This window comes from Homo sapiens, chromosome 8 (genome assembly GCF_000001405.40).
Source record: "Homo sapiens chromosome 8, GRCh38.p14 Primary Assembly".
NCBI lineage: Eukaryota > Metazoa > Chordata > Mammalia > Primates > Hominidae > Homo > Homo sapiens.
Genome location: NC_000008.11, coordinates 50,401,457 through 50,424,644, shown reverse-complemented (window position 1 = coordinate 50,424,644; position 23,188 = coordinate 50,401,457). Strand labels below are relative to the sequence as shown.

At 36.4% G+C, this 23,188-nt stretch overlaps 1 protein-coding gene across 21 annotated transcripts in view; it reads right to left on the bottom strand.

The window, feature by feature from the left end:
• SNTG1 (syntrophin gamma 1) overlaps positions 1-23,188 on the bottom strand; it is an 886,897-nt gene that overhangs the window by 372,048 nt on the left and 491,661 nt on the right. For 18 of the 21 annotated variants that reach the window (NR_135796.2, NR_135795.2, NR_135798.2 and 15 more), the window contains one exon: positions 22,301-22,435. The exons of 1 other annotated variant lie outside the window; for it this stretch is intronic. Coding sequence is in view for 15 of the 20 variants with exons in the window: in NM_001287813.3 (NP_001274742.1) it covers positions 22,301-22,435 (135 nt within the window). In the remaining 5 variants the exon portion in view is untranslated. The remainder of the gene's footprint in view (positions 1-22,300; positions 22,436-23,188) is intronic. 2 more of the 21 variants (NR_135797.2, NR_135794.2) reach the window with 1 other exon arrangement.

Genomic DNA, 23,188 nt, shown 5'->3' with positions numbered 1-23,188 from the left:
CCTCCTGTTCCCATGTCAGCTAATTAAGTTTGTTGTGTGCTACACAGCTGTTGCCCTGAGTCCTCTATTCATCCCATTCCTGGAAACTTGTATCATATTTCTATGTAGGATCTGTTTCCTAACTCCATGTCTTCCTTTTTAAAATTGACTTCTTCAGTGTGTTTACTAGTGACTTTCGTCACTCATCCATGCATGGTATAAAAATGATAGTGGAAACTGTATATATGTGGCTAGATTTTTGATTGGTACACCTTACAGATGCTGAGGAGCTTCCAAATGTCAACATCTGTTGTTGAGGCTTTCTCTTGAGATTACCTTTTTTTGTTTTTGTTTGTTTGTTTGTTTTGTCTGAAAAGAATCTTCCATTTACTTGCCAAGGACTTACAGACCTAGGTTCTGTATTCTGGGAGAGGAGTGATGCTGAGGGAGGGTACCTGGCACATATCGCTATCTCTCCATGTTTAATCCCTTCATTTGCAGTGCAATGCCTCATCACAGTTTCACCTGGAGCACATTCCCGGAACCTTTGATTCACCCATTCCAAAAGCAAACATCATGTTTATTTGTTGTTAGGGCTAGATACTGGGGAAGAAGGGTCTTTGGTCTATGACAAGAGATGTTCTTGTCTAAAACCTTAAACACAGGTTCCATCAGTCTCTCCATCTTTAGATCATCCCCATATCCAAGACTTTAGAAGAACTTTGGGTCTCCAATACTTGAGCCTTTCATCATTTGAAGTTAAGGACTTGACCACTTTATGTCGGCTCCCTAACGCGATGTCAGGCACTCAGACTTTACCTTTCTCTAACTACTAGTCAGTTAAGTCTCATCTCATCACATTTTTTGGCCAATTTCCATAGGTTTTATTATATTTTTTACATCTCTCATTTGCTTTATGCTTCTTTTCCATTTTCTTTGTAGATTTTCTCAAGCTGAGAGTCATTTCATGTACTGAGCTTTAATTTACTGATTTATTTGAAAGCTACCCTTCTTCATAGTTGGCTTGAAAATACTGCCTTTGTGAATATATCCACAATATCTCTCTGTCAGATAGCATTCTGCTATGGCCTTTGAATGAATAGTTTTGGTCATCCTTTGGCAAGAACATAGGAGAAAAGATAAAGAAGTTAACTTGAGTTAAAAATTAAAGGTTTTATAGTCATGTTGAGTGCAAAAACATAAGTGAATAAATGAACTTTTGGAAAGGGATAATTAAATTATAAAAAGTCAATGAAACTTAAATGCAGAATTCAGAACCAGGAGAAATGAGAGGATTTTTATGATTGTTTTTTGCAATATTGAATATTTCAAATAATTGTTGTGTGGCTACTATATACTAAGCACTGTTTTACATGCTATAAACATAACAGAGAACAAACTGATTTAAAAATTTCTGTTAGGTGCTCACACTCTAGTGAAGTGTTTGAAGATTTTCCTTGTATCTCCCTGTTATTGGTTTCTACTTTGATTCCACTATAGTCAGAGAACACACACTGTATGGATTTCCATTCTTTTAAAATATTGATATTTACTCATTTTTGGTCAAAAATATGTTATATCATCATAATAAAGCCAGCTTTGCAAAAACTGTATCAGTGAGAAAAGTTTGACAGCTAAAAAGATCTGAGCTAACCCCCCCAAACCCACCTCCTGCCTTTAACTTTCAACATGCCTGAATTACATCTGGGCTTAGGCCAGAGCTAATTTTGGAAGCTATTTAGGTTATAGTTTAAATGGTAATAGCCCTTTGCCAAAACTCAGCCACCTTTTAAAGCTAATGAGAGATCACCTGACTAGGGAAGAGTAGAGGAGCCTGCATTCTAGTAAAGTGTAGACATACACAACTGCTAGCCATTCCTGCAAATAACATCACTATTGTCAAACCTAAGATTGGTCTTTTGAGATATCTTTTCAGGTTTCTGCATGTCTAACACCTGGCTCCATCTGGCCCCACCAACCCCACTCCTGTGGTTCCACCCAGGATTTAATCTCTCACACATTACCTGATCAACCTCACCCCTTCCCCCCAACCTACCTTTGAAAAACTCCTAACCTATGAGCTTTTGGAGAGATTGATTTGAGCAATAATTCTGTCTCCTGCATGGAGTGGCTGGACTCATGTCAATTAAACTCTTTCTTTATTTACTGCAATACTGTGGTCTTTACTTGTGCAGCAGGCAGAAAGTACCCCTCATACAGTTACAGTAAATGTTCTTTGGTATTTTAAAATAATGTGTAATCTGCTGTACGTTCTATACATTTGCTCATTAGATCTGGTTGGTTGATAATGTTTCTGAGTCCTTCTATATATCTTTTTGTCTACTTGGTCAATCAATTTTATGTGATCTACCTATCTACATAGATAGATAGATAGTAGATAGATAGATAGATAGATAGATAGATCGCTGTTGAAGGAAATTCAAATATTTTACCCCAAAATATATATGTTGACATATTTGAAATGGCTGCCTTCTGGCCAGCAAACAGAAGTGGTCTTATTAGCCTGTCTTTTGTGAAGAAAATTTGCATCTGTAGAGAATCTCCATTAATGCAATCAGGCCTCTCCTTTCCATGCCGTTTCCAGGTCTAGGAGAGATTGAGTGTGTGACATTTTTAAAAGTCTGAAAAGAAACATTTACTCTATAGAGGCTTGGTCTGCACAACAAGGCCACTTTGAGAGTCAATCTTCCTCCTTTCTCCCTCCCATAACCTCTCTTGCCATTAAAACCTGTTTTTGGAGATACTCTGGATCTGCATTATGTCTGTAATTTCAAGATGGTGTATAAGCTTTTATTACTTACTGAAAAGTTGAGTCTTCATTCTGAAGGCTCCCAGGTATACACATTAATTAAGTAAGTCTGTATGCCTTTTTTCCTATTAATGAATATGTCTCATGTCAGTGATCTTTCAGCAGACCTTTAGGGGGCCAAGAGCCTATGGTCCTCACACTGACTATTGGTGTTGTCAGAGGAGTTTGAAACAGAGCAACTCAATCTTGAAAAAGGGTTGGGTAAAATAAAGCTGAAACCTATTGGGCTGCACTACTAGGAGGTTAAGGCATTCTTAGTCACAGGATGAGATAAGAGGTTGGCACAAGATACAGGTCATAAAGGTCTTGCTGATGGAATAGGTTGCAATAAAAAAAGCCAGCTAAATCTCACCAAAAACAAAATGGTGACGAGTGGCCTCTGGTGTTCCTCACTGCTACACTCCCACCAGCACCATGAAAGTTTACAAATGTCATGGCAATGTGAGGAAGTTATGCTGTATTGTTTAAAAGGGGAAGCATGAATAATTTGCCTCTTGTTTAGCATACAATCAAGAAATAACCATAAATATGGGCCACTAGCAGCCCCGAACGCTTCTCTGCCTATGAAGTAACCATTCTTTTATTCCTTTACTATCTTAATAAACTTGCTTTCATTTTACTCTGTGGATTCACACTGAATTCTTTCTTGTGGAGATCTAAGAGCCCTCTCTTGGGGTATGGATTGGTACCCTTTTCTGGTAACAGTGTTAGCATTTTACCAGTTCAAGGGAAGTAATAGAAACCTTACTTTCATTTAAATGTCCCTTTATCTTCGCCCCCCCCTCCCCCGCCCACCGCCTTTTTTTTTTTTTTAAGTGGAGTCTCACTCTGTTGCCAGGCTGGAGTGCAGTGGTATAGTCTTGGGTCACCATAACCTCCACCTCCTTGGTTCAAACAATTCTCCTGCCTCAGCCTCCCAAGTAGCTGGGACCACAGGCACGTGCCACCACACAAAGCTAATTTTTGTATTTTTAGTAGAGATGAGGTTTCACCATGTTGGCCAAGATGGTCTTGATCTCTTGGCCTCATGATCCACCCGCCTCAGCCTCCCAAAGTGCTGGGATTACAGGCATGAACTACTGCACCTGGCCTATCTTCCCCTATTTTTAGTTGTTACAAATATTTTCTCTATATACATTGAGAAGCACATTAGGCAATGTTAAAATTTTGGCTTGAACCATCACCCTTACTTTAAAAAACTTAAGGGGAAAAGGAAAATGTATTATATTTACATATATTTTAATTATTTTTATTAGTTTTCTTCCTTTGTGATGTTTCAGGATTCCTTCTTTAACCATTTCCTCTCTGTTGAGAGAGATCTTTGTAGCCATTCCTTTAATGAAATACTTTTCTTATATTTCTTATATCTTATGATGTCTTGATTTTCTCTTGATTCCTGGAGGATGTGTTTCACAGATATAGAATTTTGGATTGACAATTTTTTTCCTTTCAGCAATTAAAACTATTGTTTCACTTCCTTCTGGCCTTCATTGTTTCTGGTGAAAACTACACTGTCATTTGGATTGTTTTCTTCCTATTGCTGTTATTCCTTTTTTGTTGCTTTTGAAGTATTCTTCTTTGTCTTTAGTCCTCAGAATTTGCTTGTGAAGTGATTGACATGAATTTGTTTGACTTTATGCTTTTTGAGGTTTGCTCCATTTCCAGAATACATAAATTCATACTTTTTGCACAATTTTGAAAAATTTCAGCCTTTATGTTTTTTAAATACTCTGAGTCTGAACTCTTTTTCTTCTCAGGGGACTCTGCTCAAATACATGTTAGAACTTCTGTCACATTTTCATGGGTCCCTGAGACACTTCTTATTTTTTTCAGTCCAATTTCCCTGTTTTTTTTTCAGAATGAGTAATTTTTATTGTTCTCTCTGTCTCAAGTTAACTGTTTATTTTCTCTGTCCCGTCCATTGTGCTGTTGTGCCCAACCATTGAGTTTTTATTTCAATTATTGTATTGTTTAGTTCAATAATTTTGAATTTTTTTTGGCTGAGATATTCTATTTTCTCATTTGTTTCAATGGTGTTTGTAACTAATATATAGCAATTTTATGACTGCTATTTTAACATTCATATTATATAATTCTAATATCTGTATCATTTCAGATTTGATATCTGTTAATTATTGCTTCTCATTCAAGGTGAGAATTTTCTTGTTTCTGCTGGTGATAGGTGGGAATTTTAGCTCCCTACTAAGCCTCCACTGATACAACCCTTGTTGAGGGGAGGAGGAGAGCCTTATTACTGCTCTCTGAGAGGTCTCAACCGACTCCATTGTTTGCGATGGCTTCTTTATCACTGGGCTGCACAGATTTGAATTTCAGACAACCAGATAATCTTCTCTGATACCACAGTGAGGTGGAGTTTGTGGGGGATTGTTGTTGGCCTTGCTCCATAAAGATGAAAGTCCTTGTTCCCATTTATGATTTCCCTAATACCACCTTGGCAGACAGAGCTGGAGAACATCAGTGCAGCCTGGTGAGGGTATAAGTCTAAGTTTTCCACTTGGCCATTGCCATTGGAGATAGAAAGAGGGCACTTTTGTGTGTGTGTGTGGTATTTTGGTAGAGTAGAGCATTTATTTTGGAAGAATTTATTTTCTTGTTAAGCTGCCCATTTTTTTTTCTAGAAAGAAAGGTTTTGGTTGGGCTTATTGTCATTTCCAGGTTACTGGCTTCTCCTGTAACCAATCTGGGATATTTGAGGCCAAAAATCCATCAGAGAACATGGTTCTATGACTTCCTCAAATCCTAAAATCCCAAGCCAACCTGTCTTTCTCCCTGTTCCTTTCAGAGCCTTATGGTATTTTTTTTAAAAGATAATAGTCATAGTTTTTAATTTTTACCTAGTACAAATAATAGAGAAAAACAGTTCTATCCCTACTTTCCAGAAGAAAGACTGGATATATCCTGGATATATTTTTGACAGAAAGCTAACATGATTTTTTAAACTGATTGGATGTGGCTTCAATGAAAGAGTAGAGTAATGAGAGATTCCAGGGATTCTGCCTAATGCAGCTGGAAAGATGACATATCCATTTACTCTATTGGGATAGGAAACGTTGTGAAGGGAATTAATTTGGGGAATAATCAAGAGTTTAGTTTGCCTAACATGTTTAAGCTTATGTTTTAGTTAAACATGAAGTTTAACTAAAACTTCATGTTTAAGTTGAAAATGCCTACTGGACCTCCAACTGCAGATATTGTACAAATTGTTGCACTATCTCAATCTGGAGTGCAGGGAACAGGACAGGGTAAGATATAAGCTGGAGCTTAGTCACTTTTAAAGCCATGAGAATGGATGACATCTGAAAGAGCAAGTGCAAAAAGTAAAAGAAAAAGAATAACGTAAAGAACTAAGCTTTGCACCATTAAAGTGCCTATAGATGGAAATGAAGAAAAGACTCAGCAGTGAAGACTGAGACTTAGAGATCTCTAAGTTGCTTAGAGATTGGAGGAAAAGAGGAATGCAGGGTACCCAAGAAGCCCGTAAGAAAATATTTGTAGGAGAAAGGAGTGTCAGTGGTGTTGAAAACACAAGTAAAATTAGGAATGAGAAATATCCATTAAATTGAGCAATGTTGAAATAACTAGTGAAGTTGAAGAGAGAAATGTCAGTGGAGTAGTGGGGATGAATTACTGAATTTGGGGGATGATGGCAAAGAAACAATCACTTCAATGGCTTTGCTCTGGAAGAGGAAGCAGAGAAATGCAGTGGATGCTGGAGGAGAATTTCGGGCCAAGAGAGAGTTTGGTTTTATTTTGCTTTTGAAGAAGGGGAAATTATAGTTGCTTGGTTGGAATGATCAGAATGATCACTGGTCAGAATGATCTAGTGGAAAATGAGCATTTGATGATGCAATCAAATACAGTGGGAATCATCAAATGCAGTGGGAAATTGCTGGAACGATGTCTTTGAAGATGCATGCAAGGGTGGAATTTAGTGTATGACTAGATGGTGACCTTAGATAGGAGGAAAGACAGATCATCTGTGGTAATGGAAAGGGAGAAAACACATAAGGTCACAAGTCCAGGAAGGTAGATATAAATGGCAGTGGGGCATTGTTTTCTCGGCTTCATTTTCTCAGTGAAGGAGGAAGCAAGGGCATCACCTTGGAGTGAGAATGGGAGAGATGTTATTGGATACACTTGGAGAGAGAAGTTGATACGACATTGTCATCTAAGGGAGCAAGGGACTGAATGGACAAGAAAATGAAGTGTGATGTAGTAGTTCATGAAAGGTGAGAAAAGCACACTCTTATTTATATCTTACGTGAGCCACTTGCAGGCAATTATATAACATCTCCACTGTTAGAGGAGATTTAGAAGAAAAAAGAGAAGCAAGCCATGGAATATTATAACTGGGCGACATTTCATAAGTATAATTCTACATGCTAAGAAAGCAAATATTGCGTCTAGAGAAAGTAAAGTGTGAGGATCACATAGGTGCCTTTTGATAGACTCTGAAATAGAAGTCAGTTCTCTCCTATAAATCGCTAAGTCTCAGAATATACAGTCTACAGAGTAAGATAATGTGGCACGTGCTTCATAACTAGTAGAAAATTCAAGGAGTGTCAAAATTCTGCATATGCTCCTTATCGCAGAGATGTTCCAACTTGTGTATATAAGCAATTGCTTTGATTTTATTGATGTCACTTAGAAAAGTGTATATCATGGCGGTTCAAACTGAAGTTATACATATCTTTGAAGATAAATTTTTTATAAGTTACAATTGTTTTACCAAATTTTCCAGTGGGTTTAAAACCACCTAGAATTTCTTCTTTAAAACACTTTTTCAAGTACAAGTAAAAATAAGTCCTCCTATACTATAGCAATTTATAGTGTCCAAAGTGCACTTGAATGTATTACTTTATGTGACATTTGAAGCAAAGACAGTGAATCATCGTCACAGTCACTCAGGTGTTAAGCTATGGATAGAACAGAACAAGTATCTATCTGCTTGACTCCATTGCTCTAATGCAGGGTAATGGGATCCATGACATAGAGTTCAGCACGGCTATCACTCTATTATGGACAGATCTTAGCATTAAATCACATGGATGTCAAAGTCTTCATTTATGGAAAAAGGCAATGATACAGACAAATTAGCAAAATAATGATGTGATATGAATATAAGTAGTCATAAACAAAATGTCTCAAATACACTTCAAACATTTTAAGTAATCTATCTAAAATATTCTGTAAATTACCAAGAACTAAGTATAATAAAATACAAGCCACAGTAACACCTCAAATTTCCAATATTTAGCTAATCTGCAAACTCATATATTAATAATAGTCTTGAAAACCATAAAGAAGAAAAATAAATCACCACTATTGTTTAATACATATTTCAAAATTTATGCTCTTAAGTAAGAAGGCCTTAAATTCTCACTCAGATTCTCACTTTTTGTACTACACATTTGACATATTGGCTATGTGGATCCAAGCCCACTGTATAGGAAAGTAACAGACTTAGTGTTTTAGAATGGAATGAAGCAGGAGGAACTATAGAACCATTCCATGCATGTGCACATGTGTGACTATGCTTATAACCTCCATGGCAATCCAGGAATATTTAGTGTGCGAGCAAATGATCCCACAAACCACAGATTATCACTGAGTGAATGCCCAGTGCAAAAACCAATATCCATACTGATGATTATACAAGTTTAATTGTACTTGGGACATTTTGTTTAAGATTGCACAGACTGCTGTCACAGATGAAGAGAGAAAAGATACAATCTAAAATAATTAACATGAAGATAAAAGCATTGACATTGTAAAAATAAAAATATTAAGCTACAAAGAAAAGTGGATGGCCTATGTGGCTCAATATTTGAACACTCAGAACATTCTCCATTTTACTCTCTCATCATAATCACCCATCGTTATCATGTATTAAGTCTCTTCAATGCCTAGATACATTAACAGCAATCCATTTATCAAATATAAATTTCAATCACTACCTTCTTAATGCTCTGAAAATTAAAAGGCTTATTTAAACTCTGGGCTTTGGTTACCCACATTCCACTTATAAATTTATTATTAATTTTTTTAAAAAGGTGGCTATCTTACCGTTTCCACATATGTAGTAAAAATTAACAATATGTATGATAGCAAGCATCATGCAAAATTATGTGGATTAAATACAAAAATAATTTAAGTTTTATATAATATACTGAAAGAGGAACTTTTACTGGCTTGGAGAGGAGAAAAATATATTTTTTTAAACTAAAACTACTTGTGCTACTAAAACAACTGAGGAACTGTTTCATGGGAAGAGTATATTTCAAATATATTGTTGACAAAAATGAGAAATTTTAACCAAAAATCTTACTCCTTGATATATTATGTTAACATGTATAGGTATAAGTAAACATTTACATCAATTACATTAACCTTATATTTACGTTATTACCTATTCCATTTCACTTTCTAGTGTGTCCTGATTACTGATTTCCAGAACAATATAGATTTCAGCCTATTAGTTTATATTCAATCTCATTTAAATATTACCTTCTTAATGTAAATGCTTTTCTGCAGAAACAATATAAACTTCATAAGACTGTAGTCTTTGGAATACCTCTAGGCTGCTTTACATTACTGCCATTTTCAGAACTCCTTGGTTTAAAGCAATAATAATGAAACTCCTTTGCATTTAAACAACATTTGTTCACTCACGAAAAATTTCTTTTAAGGTGAGAAGTTTTGTTTTCTAATTTTACACAGAAAGATTATTTATGCAGCTCAAATTACTCATCCAGGATAATAATTTAAAGTTTTAGACAAAGTGAATTAGAGAAAGAAACAATTATCCAGATGAAAGGAAGAAGACAGCCATCTTTATTGTTCACCTCTAGTGGTCACCTAGGCAATGCAATCTCATTTAATTTTGCCACAGTGAACTATGTATAGTAGGTGGTCTCTGTTTTTCCCTCATACGAACAACGATTCAGAGAAAGCAAGAAGTCACACAGGTTCACAAAGTTGGCAAATGGGGAGACTGATATTAGAAGCCAGGCCTGTACACTTCAGATCTGATAGCTTTTCCACAAACACACCCACACACGCACACACATGCACACACACACAACTAATCTTGAGTCTAACACTCCTTTGAGTCAGATATACTTAAAATCCCTTTCCAAGACAACACACAATAAAATGATGAATAAAATAAATAAAAATAATGTCAAACGTGCAGTCAGAGTAATAAGGAAAGAAGAAAAATGTCTCGGTTGTCAGGAATGATGACGAAGTATAAAGATTCACAGGTAAGAAGTCTGTACGAGCAGAGACCCAAAGGCAAACATTCAGGGCCATCACTGGAAGGACCCAAGCAGGACAGGAGAGGCACCGTCACCTGCATAGAAAACTCTCTTAGTGTGTCAGTATGAAAAACCATTCCTATCACCCAAAGGATTATAGTAAAGAAACTTGCCAATCTTGACCTCAGATCTGGATGAAGGAATTAAAAACCATTTCTGAGATTTTGTGAATTGGCCCACAGGTGGGTGTGTGATGAATTGTCTCTACCTGTGTGGCCTCATATCCCCAACTGAGAATTTAGTTTAAAGAATATCTGGGTTGCTAATAGCCCCTTCACCTGAAAGAACTAATTGTAAATTCTATCTTCATAACACATTATAGAGCCAAACTGAGGGATACTTATAGAGTGCCAAGACCATGAGCCCACAGTGAGAAATCCCAGGAGGAAATGGAATTTAGTGAGTGCATCAGCAGCAGAACAAAGAACAGATAACAGAGTCAGATCTATACAGACTGCAGATCTTGCAATTACAGATACGGCATATAAATAGGATTGTCTAACAAGATTAATATTGATAGAAAGGAGATATCAAATGTATAATCGTGATGTAAAATACTATGAGGCAAATATAAAATAGGATAGAATAGAACTTCCAGAAGTGAAAATCATAATAGCCAGAATCAGAAATTCAATAAATAGTTTAAATGATAGACTCAATGTAACCAAAGAGAGAGATAGTGAACTGAAAGGAAGATGGGAGGAGTTGCCTTTAGAGTCCACAGAGGGCAGACAAGTTCAAAATATGAAAAAACGTAAGAAAATGGAGAATCCAGGGAGCTGATCTAACATCCATCCAAATGTTACTGAAGGAAAGAACACAGATAATAGAGAGGAGGCTCTTCAAAGATAATGGCTAAAAATTCTTCAGAATTGAAGAAATACATAAATTTTCATATTCCGGTCTTGTGACTCTCAAGCAAAGAAAATACATCTTCAGATAGATATGTCAGAGTGACACAGCAGATTACCATGGGGCGTGGATGGGCATGGATTCTGAAATCTTCAACACTCAGAAAGAAGAGACAGTTTTCCTACAAAGAAAAAATAGATAGATGGCAGACTTTCTCAAACTCCAAAACTCAGTATGAGAGCTAAGGGATGAAAATATTACAAAATACATCAAACTGTCAACCATTTTAAGGAAGAAGAAAAAAACAAATGAACAGTGTTAAATTAATCTATTGATACCTATGAATCAATCATCTGTCTATATCTGTCATCCATCTATGCCTCTATGCATCTATCATCCATCTCTATCTATCATTAAGCTGCTGATGGGCACATGATTGATCATAACCCTCTTGAACTTTACACTCACATTTAATGTTATAAAAATTCATTTGTGTAAATAATGACATATCTTTTTGTAAGTATGACAAATCTGTAAAATCACAAACGTGAGCAATGTAACTGATAAGCCAGTGGAACCAGGCACCATTGCTTTAATTAACTGATTTTAGTTTCCATCTTGATATCAGTCTATGACAAAATTGCATTGGTTCTAAATGGTCTAAGCTTTTTTGGTCTCAATTCAACTTCCATTGTACACCGCTCTAAAACCTGATTTTCCTACTTAAATTGCTCCCTTTATTGATGGCACCACAACCCACCAATACACTTTGCACCCCACCTTACATCCTTCCCAACTGTATCCTGCAGGAAACATGTCCCATGACTAAACCATCCTTGATTATGGCATGCTTTTTAACAGTTTGGTAATTGGTAATTTTGCATACACTTTTTGTCTGCTTTAAATGCTACTTACATATGTCTTGCAAAATTACATATATCCCGCAAAATTCTACCTGCTATTTAAGAGGTGGGACCTTAATCACATCCTCTGGAAAGCAGTTCCTGACCTAGACCTCTGTACTCTGTGTATCACCATGTCTATACACACCCACATTGTATCATGTGTCATGTTAATAAAGATATTATTTGTTGAGCTCCTACTATGTGCCAGAGACCATATTCTCTTTTACTTGCATTCACTTGTTTCATCTTCACAATTACCCGATAAGACAGATAGTATTATATTCATTTAGAAGTGAAAAACATAATAATAAGAATCAGAAATTCAATAGTTTAAATAATGGACTCAATCTGTCAAAGAAAGAGTTATGAACTGAAAAGAAGAAAGAAGGAGTCACCTTTAGTGCCCCACAGAAAGACAAATAGGTACAAAATGTAAGAAAAAACTAAGTATTAAAGAGTTGTCAATAAATTTGCTTTATATGTATAAAGAAAATCTCATATTAAAATTATTTTAAAGGTAAAATAAAACAAGATGCACAATAACAAGTGGATTTAACAATGCTAGGTTTAACAAAACACGTTAAGATAAATATCCTTAATATGAATCTTATACCTAGCAATGTATTTCACAAAAAAATTAACTCTGTTAATAAGGTATCCTTCTGTGGGTGCCATTGTTCTTGTGGTAAATATTATCATTCATTTGCTTCTACGTTTGGAGGAGCCTTCAAATAACAACACCAACACCTCCAACTGCATCTGTTCTGTCTATCCTAATCAAAGGAGACACAGGCAGTAGTCCCTGGGGACTGCTGCCCAGACTATGGAACCTGAGATGGTGTTGCCACAGGCTGACTACAACTGTGACCAACTCGGGCTAATCCCACTGCGGCCACCACCAGGGGATCCGGTGACAATGTTTTCACTGGAGCCATAATCTTTTCTTCCAGGGCTGCCATATCTGGAACCGCATAAGCCCTGGGAAATTAGGAACGTAAATGTCCCTAGTGGTGACTACTGACTGGCAAAAAAGAAACATCACATAAGAAATAGAGAGAAGGGGTTTCCAGCACTGTCTTTTCAATTTAACAATCTCTAATAATAAAAGACAGGGACACTCTAGGTTTCAAGAGTAGGCCTTTGTATTATCTTTCTGTTATAAAATCACAACTCTCTAAACAGTACTTGCCCATCTGCAAGTATTTTTCTACTCCTGAAAAATGTTTCCCTTCCTCCTTCTGTTTTTATTTTATTTTTTTTTTGAGATGGAGTCTTTTTATTTTTTTTTTTTGAGATGGAGTCTTGCTCTGTCACCCAGGCTGGAGTGCAGTGGAGAGATCTCGGCTCACTGCAAGCTCTGCCTCCCAGGTTCATGCCATTCTCCTGCCTCAGCCTCCTGAGTAGCGGGCACTACAGGCGCCCGCCACCATGCCTGGCTAATTTTTTGTATTTTTAGTAGAGAAGGGGTTTCACCGTGTTAGCCAGGATAGCCTCGATCTCCTGACCTCGTGATTTGGCCATCTCGGCCTCCCAAAGTGCTGGGATTACAGATGTGAGCCACCGCACCCGGCCTTCCTTTTCTTAGTCTTATTTGCACACATTTGGAATGTCAGTCTACCCAAAAAGGCCAAACAAGGAGAAGCGCAAACATAAAATACTTCTGATTGAAAAGTTTATAAACATACAATCAAATGTAAAAACGGGATTAAACTGATAGCTTCTTTATCAATGTTAGTAATCAGTGACCACTTTTACCTCTAAAACATTTTGAAAAATCAGTTGTATTTACTTAGAATGGGTCAAATTTTATAGAATACAACCTAAGTGTCTATCAACAGATGAATGGATAAAGCATATATATACACAGTTGACTATAATGCAGCCAGAGGAAAGAAGGGAACCCTTCCGTTTGTGATAACATAAATGAACAGAGGACATTATGCTTAGTGAAATAAGTCAGGCACAGAAAGACAAATGTTGTATGACCTCGCACATGCATAATCTAAAAAAAAGTCCAATCCACAGAAACAGAAAGTAGAATGGTGGCTTCCAGGGGCTGAGGAATGGAAGAATAGAAGGTGCTGATAAAAAGGTACAAACTTTCAGTTATAAAATGAACAAGATCTCAGGGTCTAATATATAGCAGGGGAGGTGATAGATGTGTTACATTACTGTAAAAATCATTACACAATGTGTATGTATATATATCTATCAAGTCATCATATTATACACCTTGAATATATATATTCTTTGTAAATTCAATATTTTTAAATAAAAGAAGAATGCAATCTCATTAAAATCAGCAAATAAATGATAACATTGGCATACAAGAGTTTTTTTTAAAAGTTTAAAAAATATAGACAACGTGTATTTTGTGCATGTGTGTGTACACAGACTCCAATCTCCATGTTGACAGATTTCAGTGAGTAGCTCTGTGATGTGGGAAAAAGAAAAAACAATGTTCCTATCTAGGCCTGCACACACCATGCCTCCCAGATGACCTATTAAGAATCTATCCATAATAGGTGCACTAGTCTAGATACATTCTCTCTCTGGATCACATTTTCACAGATAATGAACCTCAAAAAGCCACATCCTACATCATGTCACACCCATGTGAAAGCCAGTACAAATTCCAAGGTTAATAGTAGATATTAGTTCTCTTAAAGTCATCTTCAGGAAATTGTGGTTTCACTCGTGGGATTGCTAATTGTGTGTTTTATTCCACAAGGAAACTGGAAGAAGTTGTTCTGTTGATTTTAAAGTCTAATGGTGCCCATTACACTGAGGTACTGATTGTATTGATGCTATTTATCTGACAGTTCTGTCATGTTTGGAATTTAAGCTCCATGATTCTTCATGGTTTTCGTATCTTTTTACTAGCAACACCTTTGAAACTGGTGTCTCTATGGGGAAATAGATAGCCATCTTGTATTGATTTTACCCTCATTTACCTTTTAAAAATATTTCGTCAATATTTAAAACTAGCACAGGCTAAATTTAATTTTCCTTCAGGGCCCATTGAAGGGTATACTACCATGAGAACAGCCACAGATATCTCTGACTTAGAGTGGTAAACCATTCAGAAGGATGACAGGAACTGAATGTTGGATTTCAGCTCCCCTGGAGCACCAGGGGAAGATGATTGCTTTCTTGTATGTTAACTGAAGCTTTAACACATCTATCTGACAACGGCCATGCATCATTCTGATCAACAGTCACTTTACTATCTGCATCTAAAGATCCTGAATAATTGCTGCCTACGTTTTGATACTATTTTTAAATGATCACAGATGAAACAGGTTTTATCTGATATGAACTCAATGCTAAAACTTCAACTGTGTAATCTCTGAAGAAATCACAGAATGTTCCTCAAAAGTAGTTAATAAAAGGCACTGGGGGAAAGCAGTATTTTGCTGATAGAAGTCACAGTAAATGCGTTGGATATTTCAGTTTTAACTCTCTAGCTGTCTCTTGTAGGTGAAAATGTTGACACAAGTTTCTAAATGATCAATATTTTATAGGACTTTCTGCATAACTAAAATTAGAGTCAGATGTGCTAAATATGTCAAGAGTGTTTTTTCTCTGCGTCACCTCCTGAAGCCTCTGAGGAGCTACTTGACTTCTACTATAAACTCCCAGACCCACTAATCAGGGAGTGATGAGCAGGTTTAAGCCCCATTTGATAGGGGTTATTGTTAAGTCACCTTCTTTAGAAGCTCACCCTGATAAAGCCCTGGAGCTCAGCTACAGGTTCATCAGCCTGTGGTTTTCTGGCGCTGACCCTGTATTACCTGTTTCCTCTCTTAATTCTAGAGATTTTGTGAAGCAAAGCCTTTTCCCAGGGGTCCCTTTGCTATCCAAATCCTATATCCTGCCCTCTCACAGAGGCTGCCCTTACATACTTACCACGAATTCTCAATTCTTGTTTCTGCAACTGAGCTATGCCCTACAATATGTCCAGGAATTCAGAGCAAGGAGCTAAGAGGGTTACTTGGCATGACGCCTGGGTTTTGACCCATCTGCCAATCCTTGATTTTCAGATACCAACATTTTGCCTGACTGGAGCTTCTCCAAATGCTCAGTTCTGTGCCCTCTCCCTCAGAGTGAGCCTTTTACCTGGGCTCACATCTCACTGTTTATCCTTCATGGTCAGTGGGTTAATGTTGGGGCTGATGGCACCCTCTCCTGCCTTGGTGCAGATACAGAGAAATTGTCAGGCCTACCACTAACTCCCTATCCCAGACCTTGTCCCACTGCCATCCCTGAGTCCCAGTCCACAAGGGCTTTTGGAACCACTTTTGCACAATTATAACAATGAGAGAAATCTGGCATAACTGACTCCCTAGTGCGTCTAACCTCACAAGCTAACTACCTTTGCTTATTTCTGTGCAAAAGCCAAAATAACTATGGGAGGGATTTACTTTACAATTTAATGGAAAAATGTAGTTTATAGTTTAACTTTAAAGCAAGGAACTTTAAAGCAAGGATGATAATAGTCGCTTCCCAAAGTTAAGCTTTTCCATACTGGGGACTGAAACTGCCTTTGTAAAACTAATGAAAGGCCATAAGATTATAATTATGCTAGGGACCTGATTTCTGCTAAGACATAGGCATAAACAGCACCTAGGCATTGTTTCCTAGCTTGCTTTTTATAATTGCTTGCTGCTCAGGATTCACATAGCCAGTGGTCTGAAGATTTGTAACTTCCCCAGTTGCCCCTCTAGGTAACACTGCTATTGTGAAACCTCAGCCTGGTCTTTGAGATATTTTTCAGACTTTGCATTCTAGTAGACCAGCTAATGCCACCCAGACCAGTGACTCCACCCAGGAGCTAACTAAATGCCTGAGGACAGTTTTGGCAGCACTGTGATTTAGGCCCTGATCCAACCAGTCAGTACAACCCACTCCATAGCTGCCTGCCCACCAAACTATCCTTAAAACGCTAGTCTTCAAATTTCCAGGCAGAGAGATTTGAGAAATATCTCCTGTCCTCTTTGCTTCACTGCCTTGCAAGTATTAAACTCTTCATCTAATGCAATACTGGCTGTCTCATTGTATTGGCTTTTTCTGTGAAGTGGGCAAGAGGAGCTTGACTGAACTGTAACACTTTCTTTCAGCCTGAGCAAGGCAGGTCAAAAGTGTCAGGCAAAGACAATCCTAGAAGCAGCTTTCAGCTAATGTGATAGACCTGAAAATATAAACAACTTCCTCCCTATTGTGGGGTTGGAGAAAAAACTACAACATTCTATAATCCTCAGGATTTTTCAGCAGAGTGGAGCTTCATTTTTCTCCCTCATGAGTAAACTGCCTGATAGCAATCTTGTTTTCAGTCCCCTGCCCCTGACTGTTCTATTTTCCACCCAGGACTTCAGAGCATTGCTTCTAGATAACAAAATAGCATCCTTGCCTATGGTTCTTCAGACTAACATCTGCCTTTCCTTAGAACATTCTCCTAACCTTTCCACTCACTTAAGCAGACTGAGAGTTAACACTCTATTTGTTGTAATACTCAGATGAGACTTTCTGCTCTCCAAAGTTGGATGTTTATCTCTGCCCTACTGTCTCAAATTCATCTCATAATTAGCTGATAAGAGAGGTGATCCCTGTCCAGCGAGCACATGGACTATGTATTGTGGCAATACAACACAAACAGTGCACTGTGAAAGGTCAAGTTTAAAGAGGGTATCTTTTAATACAGAGGCGTCTGCGGGCCTTTACCAGTGGGAGGTTTTAAAAAACAGACAAAGGGAGTTTTTCTCAAAGAATATCTGGTTATCTGAAAGTACAGTGTGCTACTTTCTCTGTTGTAGATTGGCTTTCCTCAGATGCAGACCTAGAAGATAGAATTCCTTCCCGGGACAGGGGTCCCAGGAAGTACTTTCAGGTAAGAAAAGCGAGTTATAGAGCAGAAGAAAAAAAATTAAAAAGCACACATGATCATCTCAATTGATTCAGAAAAAGCATTTGACAAACTTCAATACCTTTCGATGATAACATTCAAAACTGCCTCAATACTCAGCCACCTAGGAATAGTAGACAACTACCTCATCATAACAAAGGCAGTATATGAAAAACCCACAGCAAATATCATACTCAAAAATGAAGCTTTTCCTTTAAGATCTGGAATAAGAAAAAAAATGCCTGCTTTTACCACTTTTATTCAGCATAGTATTGGAAATCTTAACGAGAGTAATAAGGCAGGAGAAAGAAATAATAGTCATCCAAATTTGAAAGGAATAAGTAAACTTATCTTGAATCACAGATGACATAATCTTATATGTAGAAAACCATAAACATTCCGCAATAAACTATTAGAACTAATAAATTCAGCAAAGTAGCAGAATACAAAATCAAAATGTAAAAATCCATTACATTTCCGTGCACTAACAATAAATAATCCAAAAGTAAACTAAGAAAATAATTTTTAACAATACTATCAAAAATTATCAAGTACTAAGGTTTTAACTTAAGCAAGGGGTTGAAAGACTTGTACATGAAAACAACAAAACATTGCTAAAAGAACTCAAAGTACCCATAAATAAATGGAAAGATGTTATGTTCATCTATCAGAAAACTTACTATTATTAAGATGTCCATACTACTAAAAGTGATCTACAGATTCAACATGATCCTTATAAAAACTGCAATGATATTTTTTCAAGAAATAGAAAAATTCATTCCAAAATTTATTTGAGATCTTAAGGAACCCAAATTAGCTGATTTCAAAATTTGCTATAAAGCTACAGTAAAAACAAACAAACAAAAGGCATAACTGTGCGTTACTGGCATAAAGACAAATATATAGACTAATAAACTAGAATAGAGAGGCCACAAATACCCCCTTATATATACGGCACATGATTTTGAACTGGATATCCAAATGCTAAAGAATGAAGTTGGATCTTTACCTAATGCTATGTACAGAAGTTAACTTAAAATATAACCAAACGCACAAGTAAGAGCAAAAATTGTAAACTCTTAGAAGAAAATATAGTGGAAAAGATTCATGACACTGAATTTGGCAATTATTTATTGGAGATGGTATAAAAGGTACGACCAATAGAAGAAAAAATTGACATGGATTTTATTAAAATTAAAAACTTTTGTGCATCAAAAATACTAATAGAGTAAAAAGGCAATCCACAATTTGGGAGAAAATATTGCAAATCACATATCTGATAAGGGACTAGTATCTAAAATACATTAAGAATTCCTGCAACTAAGCTCCAAAAAACAAACAATCCAATTCAAAAATAGACAAAGGATATGAATAGACACTTACCCAAAGAGGACGCACAAGTAGACAATAAGCACATAAAATGATGCTCTACATTATTAATTGACAGGAGAATGCAAATGAAAACCACGGTGAGATTCAACCTCACACTTATTTGGATAGCTATTATCAAAAACACAGAAAACAACAGGCTTGGCATGAATGTGGAGAACTTGGAACCCTTGTATTTTGCTTGTTGAAATGGAAAATGGTACAACTACTGTGGAAAAGAGTACGGCAGTTTCTTAAAAAGTTGAACAAAGTATTACTATTTTATCCAGCAATTTCACTTCTGGGTATATACACCAAATAATTGAAAGTGGTGACTCAAACATATTTGTACACCCATGTTCCTAGAGGCATTTTTCAAAAAGCCAAGGTGGAAACAACCTCAATGTTTACTACCGAGTGAGAAGATAAACAAAAGGTGGTATAAATACACAATGGAATATTATTCAGCCTTTGAAGGGAATGAAATTCTGATATATGCTTCAACATGGATGATCCTTAAAGTCATTATGATAATTGAAATAAGTCATCCACAAATGGTCAGATATTGTATGATTCCACCTACAAGATCTACCCAGAATAGTCAAATGTAGAGGCAGAAAGTAGAACAGTGGTTACCAGGGGTTAAGAGGAGGAGAGCATGGAGAGTTACTGTTTAATGCGTACAGAGTTTCAGTATGGCATGATGAAAATTCTGGCAATGAATAGTGGTGATAGTTACACAACAAAATGAATGCACGAAATGCTACTGAACTTTATACTTAAAAATAGTTAAGATGGTACATTTTATATTATGTATATTTTACCACAGTTAAAAAAAAAAACTTAACTGACCATATAAGAGTGGGTCTATTTTTGGACTCTTTAGAATGTTCCACTGATTGCTATGCCTGAATTTATTACAGCATTACATTGTATTTATTATTAGAATCTTATAGTAAGCGCTGAAATCAGGTAGAATAAACACTCCAACTTTGTTCTTTTTATTCAAGATTATTCTGGTTATTGTAAGTCCTTTATATTTCCATGTAAATTTTGGAATCAACTTGTACATATCCACACAAATATTTTGGGGTTTTGACTGGTTTGGAATATTTAGAAAGATGTGACAGTTTATCAATACTTAGCTTTTAATTTATGATCATGTTGTATTTCTCCATTTATTTGTTTATATCTTTTAATTTCCTTCAACATAGTTTTTGTAGTTTTCAGGGTAGAGATCATATACATCTTTTGTTAAATATGTTCCTGAGTGTATTGTCTTTCTGACTTATTGTGGATTGCATTTTCATTTCATTTCTAGTTGCTTGTAGGTAGTTTTAGAAACACAATTAACTTGGGCTATTGTCCTTATTCTCAGCAACCTTGCTTAATTTTAGTGTTATTCTATCTTTTGTAGAATTCTTAAGGTTTTCTATGCATATCATCATGAAATCTACAAGTAAAGCCATTTTGCCTCTTCCTGTATAATTTTTGTTCTTTATATATCGTTTGTGACTTGCTGTAGGAGCATGGTGAACAACATTGATTATTAAGCAAGGTATTATCCTTGACTTGCTTTCAATCTCAGAGAAAATGTTCAATGTTAACTAACATATTAGGGAGAGGCTTTAATTAGATGACAGTTGTCAGATTAAGAAAATTCTTGTCTATTCATATCTTGCTAAAGTGTTTTGTAAAAATGGGTGTTGAATTTTGTCAAATGCTTTTTTGAATTTGTTGAAAATGCCATAGGATATTTCTCCTTAATTCTCTTCATTATTCCTAGCACTCTGAGCTTTATTTATATGCACAATTATCTTTTAAGAAGAGAATAGGTCTATGTGTATCAGCTATTATTGACTGTGAAGTTTAAAATCAATAATATTATTTCAGTATCAAAGTAGTAAATTTTACTGATTTTATTTTTTGATCTGGGACCAGTGTGATATATTTATTCTAGAGGGTTATATGACTCATGTCACTTCTCTATTATTAACCAAAGGGAAGAAAGGACAACCCCATGGGAACAGTTTAATCAGCCTTGACATCCAGGCCCATGATTCAGAATGATTTAAATGGTCTGTGACAAAAGAATAGTTAACAGTCTGCAAAATGTCCATTATCTTTAGTTGGCAAAGGCCTATTGATTTAGGGCCTTGTGTGACTCCCATAGGGTGTTAGTAAGAAGTGATGTGAGAGCTCAAGTTCAGCATTATTCACCACCAACTAAACACTCCAAGGTAAGTCTGTTAATAAGGTACAAATTAAATCTCCATGCTAAATAGTTGCAGATGTTTGGGGAAAGCAGGGAGCAGACTACATGCTACTGTCTGTAATTTTCTTCTGAGATCACATACGGCAACATTGCTAAAAAGAAGCCTTTAATAGCATTATTATACAATGAATGATAAACTCCAGAACTCGTCTTATGATAATGTCTTTTAGCAGAATAAAATCTAATCTCATCTAAGGATGTCTTCCATAGCTATGCTGCCTCGACATGAGTAGGTACAGCAATCAGTTTTGCACTGTAATTTATGGCTCTTTCTGAAGTTAGATTAGGAGCAGTGTAATGTGTCAATGGGTTGGAGCATTGGAGAAAAGAATTTGCTACAGCACTTGGGCATAATTCTATTAGGGAGGCCCACAGAATCATTTAGACACTATCCTAGGGGAACACCACTCACGCTGAGTTCAGTGACCGCTGCCTAACGTCTCCTGATTCAGTGATGCTGAAGGTTGGGCCCCACCCTGGCACCACTCTCAGTAGTCCCAGGTCATGAAAGATAAGACCAGAGCAAAAGCCATCACCATGCACAGTTCTCAATTAATTCTCTATGTAAAATGGTAGAATAATCAGAAAATACAGTGTCACTCCCATCATATGATGACAGCTAGGAGTCATAGACAACAGGCTGGAGATGGGCCCGAAATATGTGTTCATGGACCCCAGGCAAGGTTCTCGTACAGGGCCGCTGATTACTTAATGATGTAAGCAAAAATTCCATGCAGAACCATTGACTAGACACTGAAAGAAAAACATATTTAAAATGCCCTGTGAATAAACATTTTTATTAACAAAAAACAAACACAAAAAATTTCAACAGAAGAAAAAGCTACTTACACCAGAATAGAAAGGCTCACCAGACACACATATCACATCCTGTTCCTGGATCATCAAAATGTCTTTGGCTAGGTGCAGCCGCACTTTGAAAGGCTCCTGGTTACCATCCTGCAGCAAACAAATTCCTGTCTTTGTCTTCAGATTAAAAAAAAAAACAAACAGAGGAAAAATTATACTTAGTTTATAGGTTGTAATTTTGTGGCCAGTTTACAGCAAAACATGGTGAATAACATTTAAGAGGTGGTGAAAACACACTCTGATGAGCCTGAAATTGAATACTTAACGTGGGTGCAAGGGAAAAAAAGGAGAATGATCTCAAGTAGAGTGAACACTCGGATAATGAAAACAATGTCACAAAATTCACACAAAGAAGTGGGGAGTAAGGATTATGGTACATGTACTACATTTTTAAAATAATGAGGATTTTTGTAATACTTATAATCTAAAAATAAAAAATAATTGCTTTATTGAGATATAATTCAAATTCCATACAATTCAACCCTTTAAAATGTACAATTCATGTATTTTTAATATACTCAATGGTGTGCAACCATCACTGTAATCAATTTTAGAACATTTCCATTACTTCAAAAAGAAGGAACACACTCCTATTTCTCCATTTCCCCTCCCACTGCCCCAGCCTACTCTAAACTCCACTATGTCAGCATTCCTAGTCACCAACAAACACATGCATGCATGCATACACACATGCACAGACTTGCATGAACACGCACTCACATACACACACACACACACAGTTTATACCTAGAAGGAAATAAGGGTAACAAGGTGAAATAAACTACCCAGATTAACACAGTTAATTAAAATTGGAGCCTAGTTTAAGACCCAAGATTTTTGATGCCTAATCCAATGTGTTTGCTTTATATA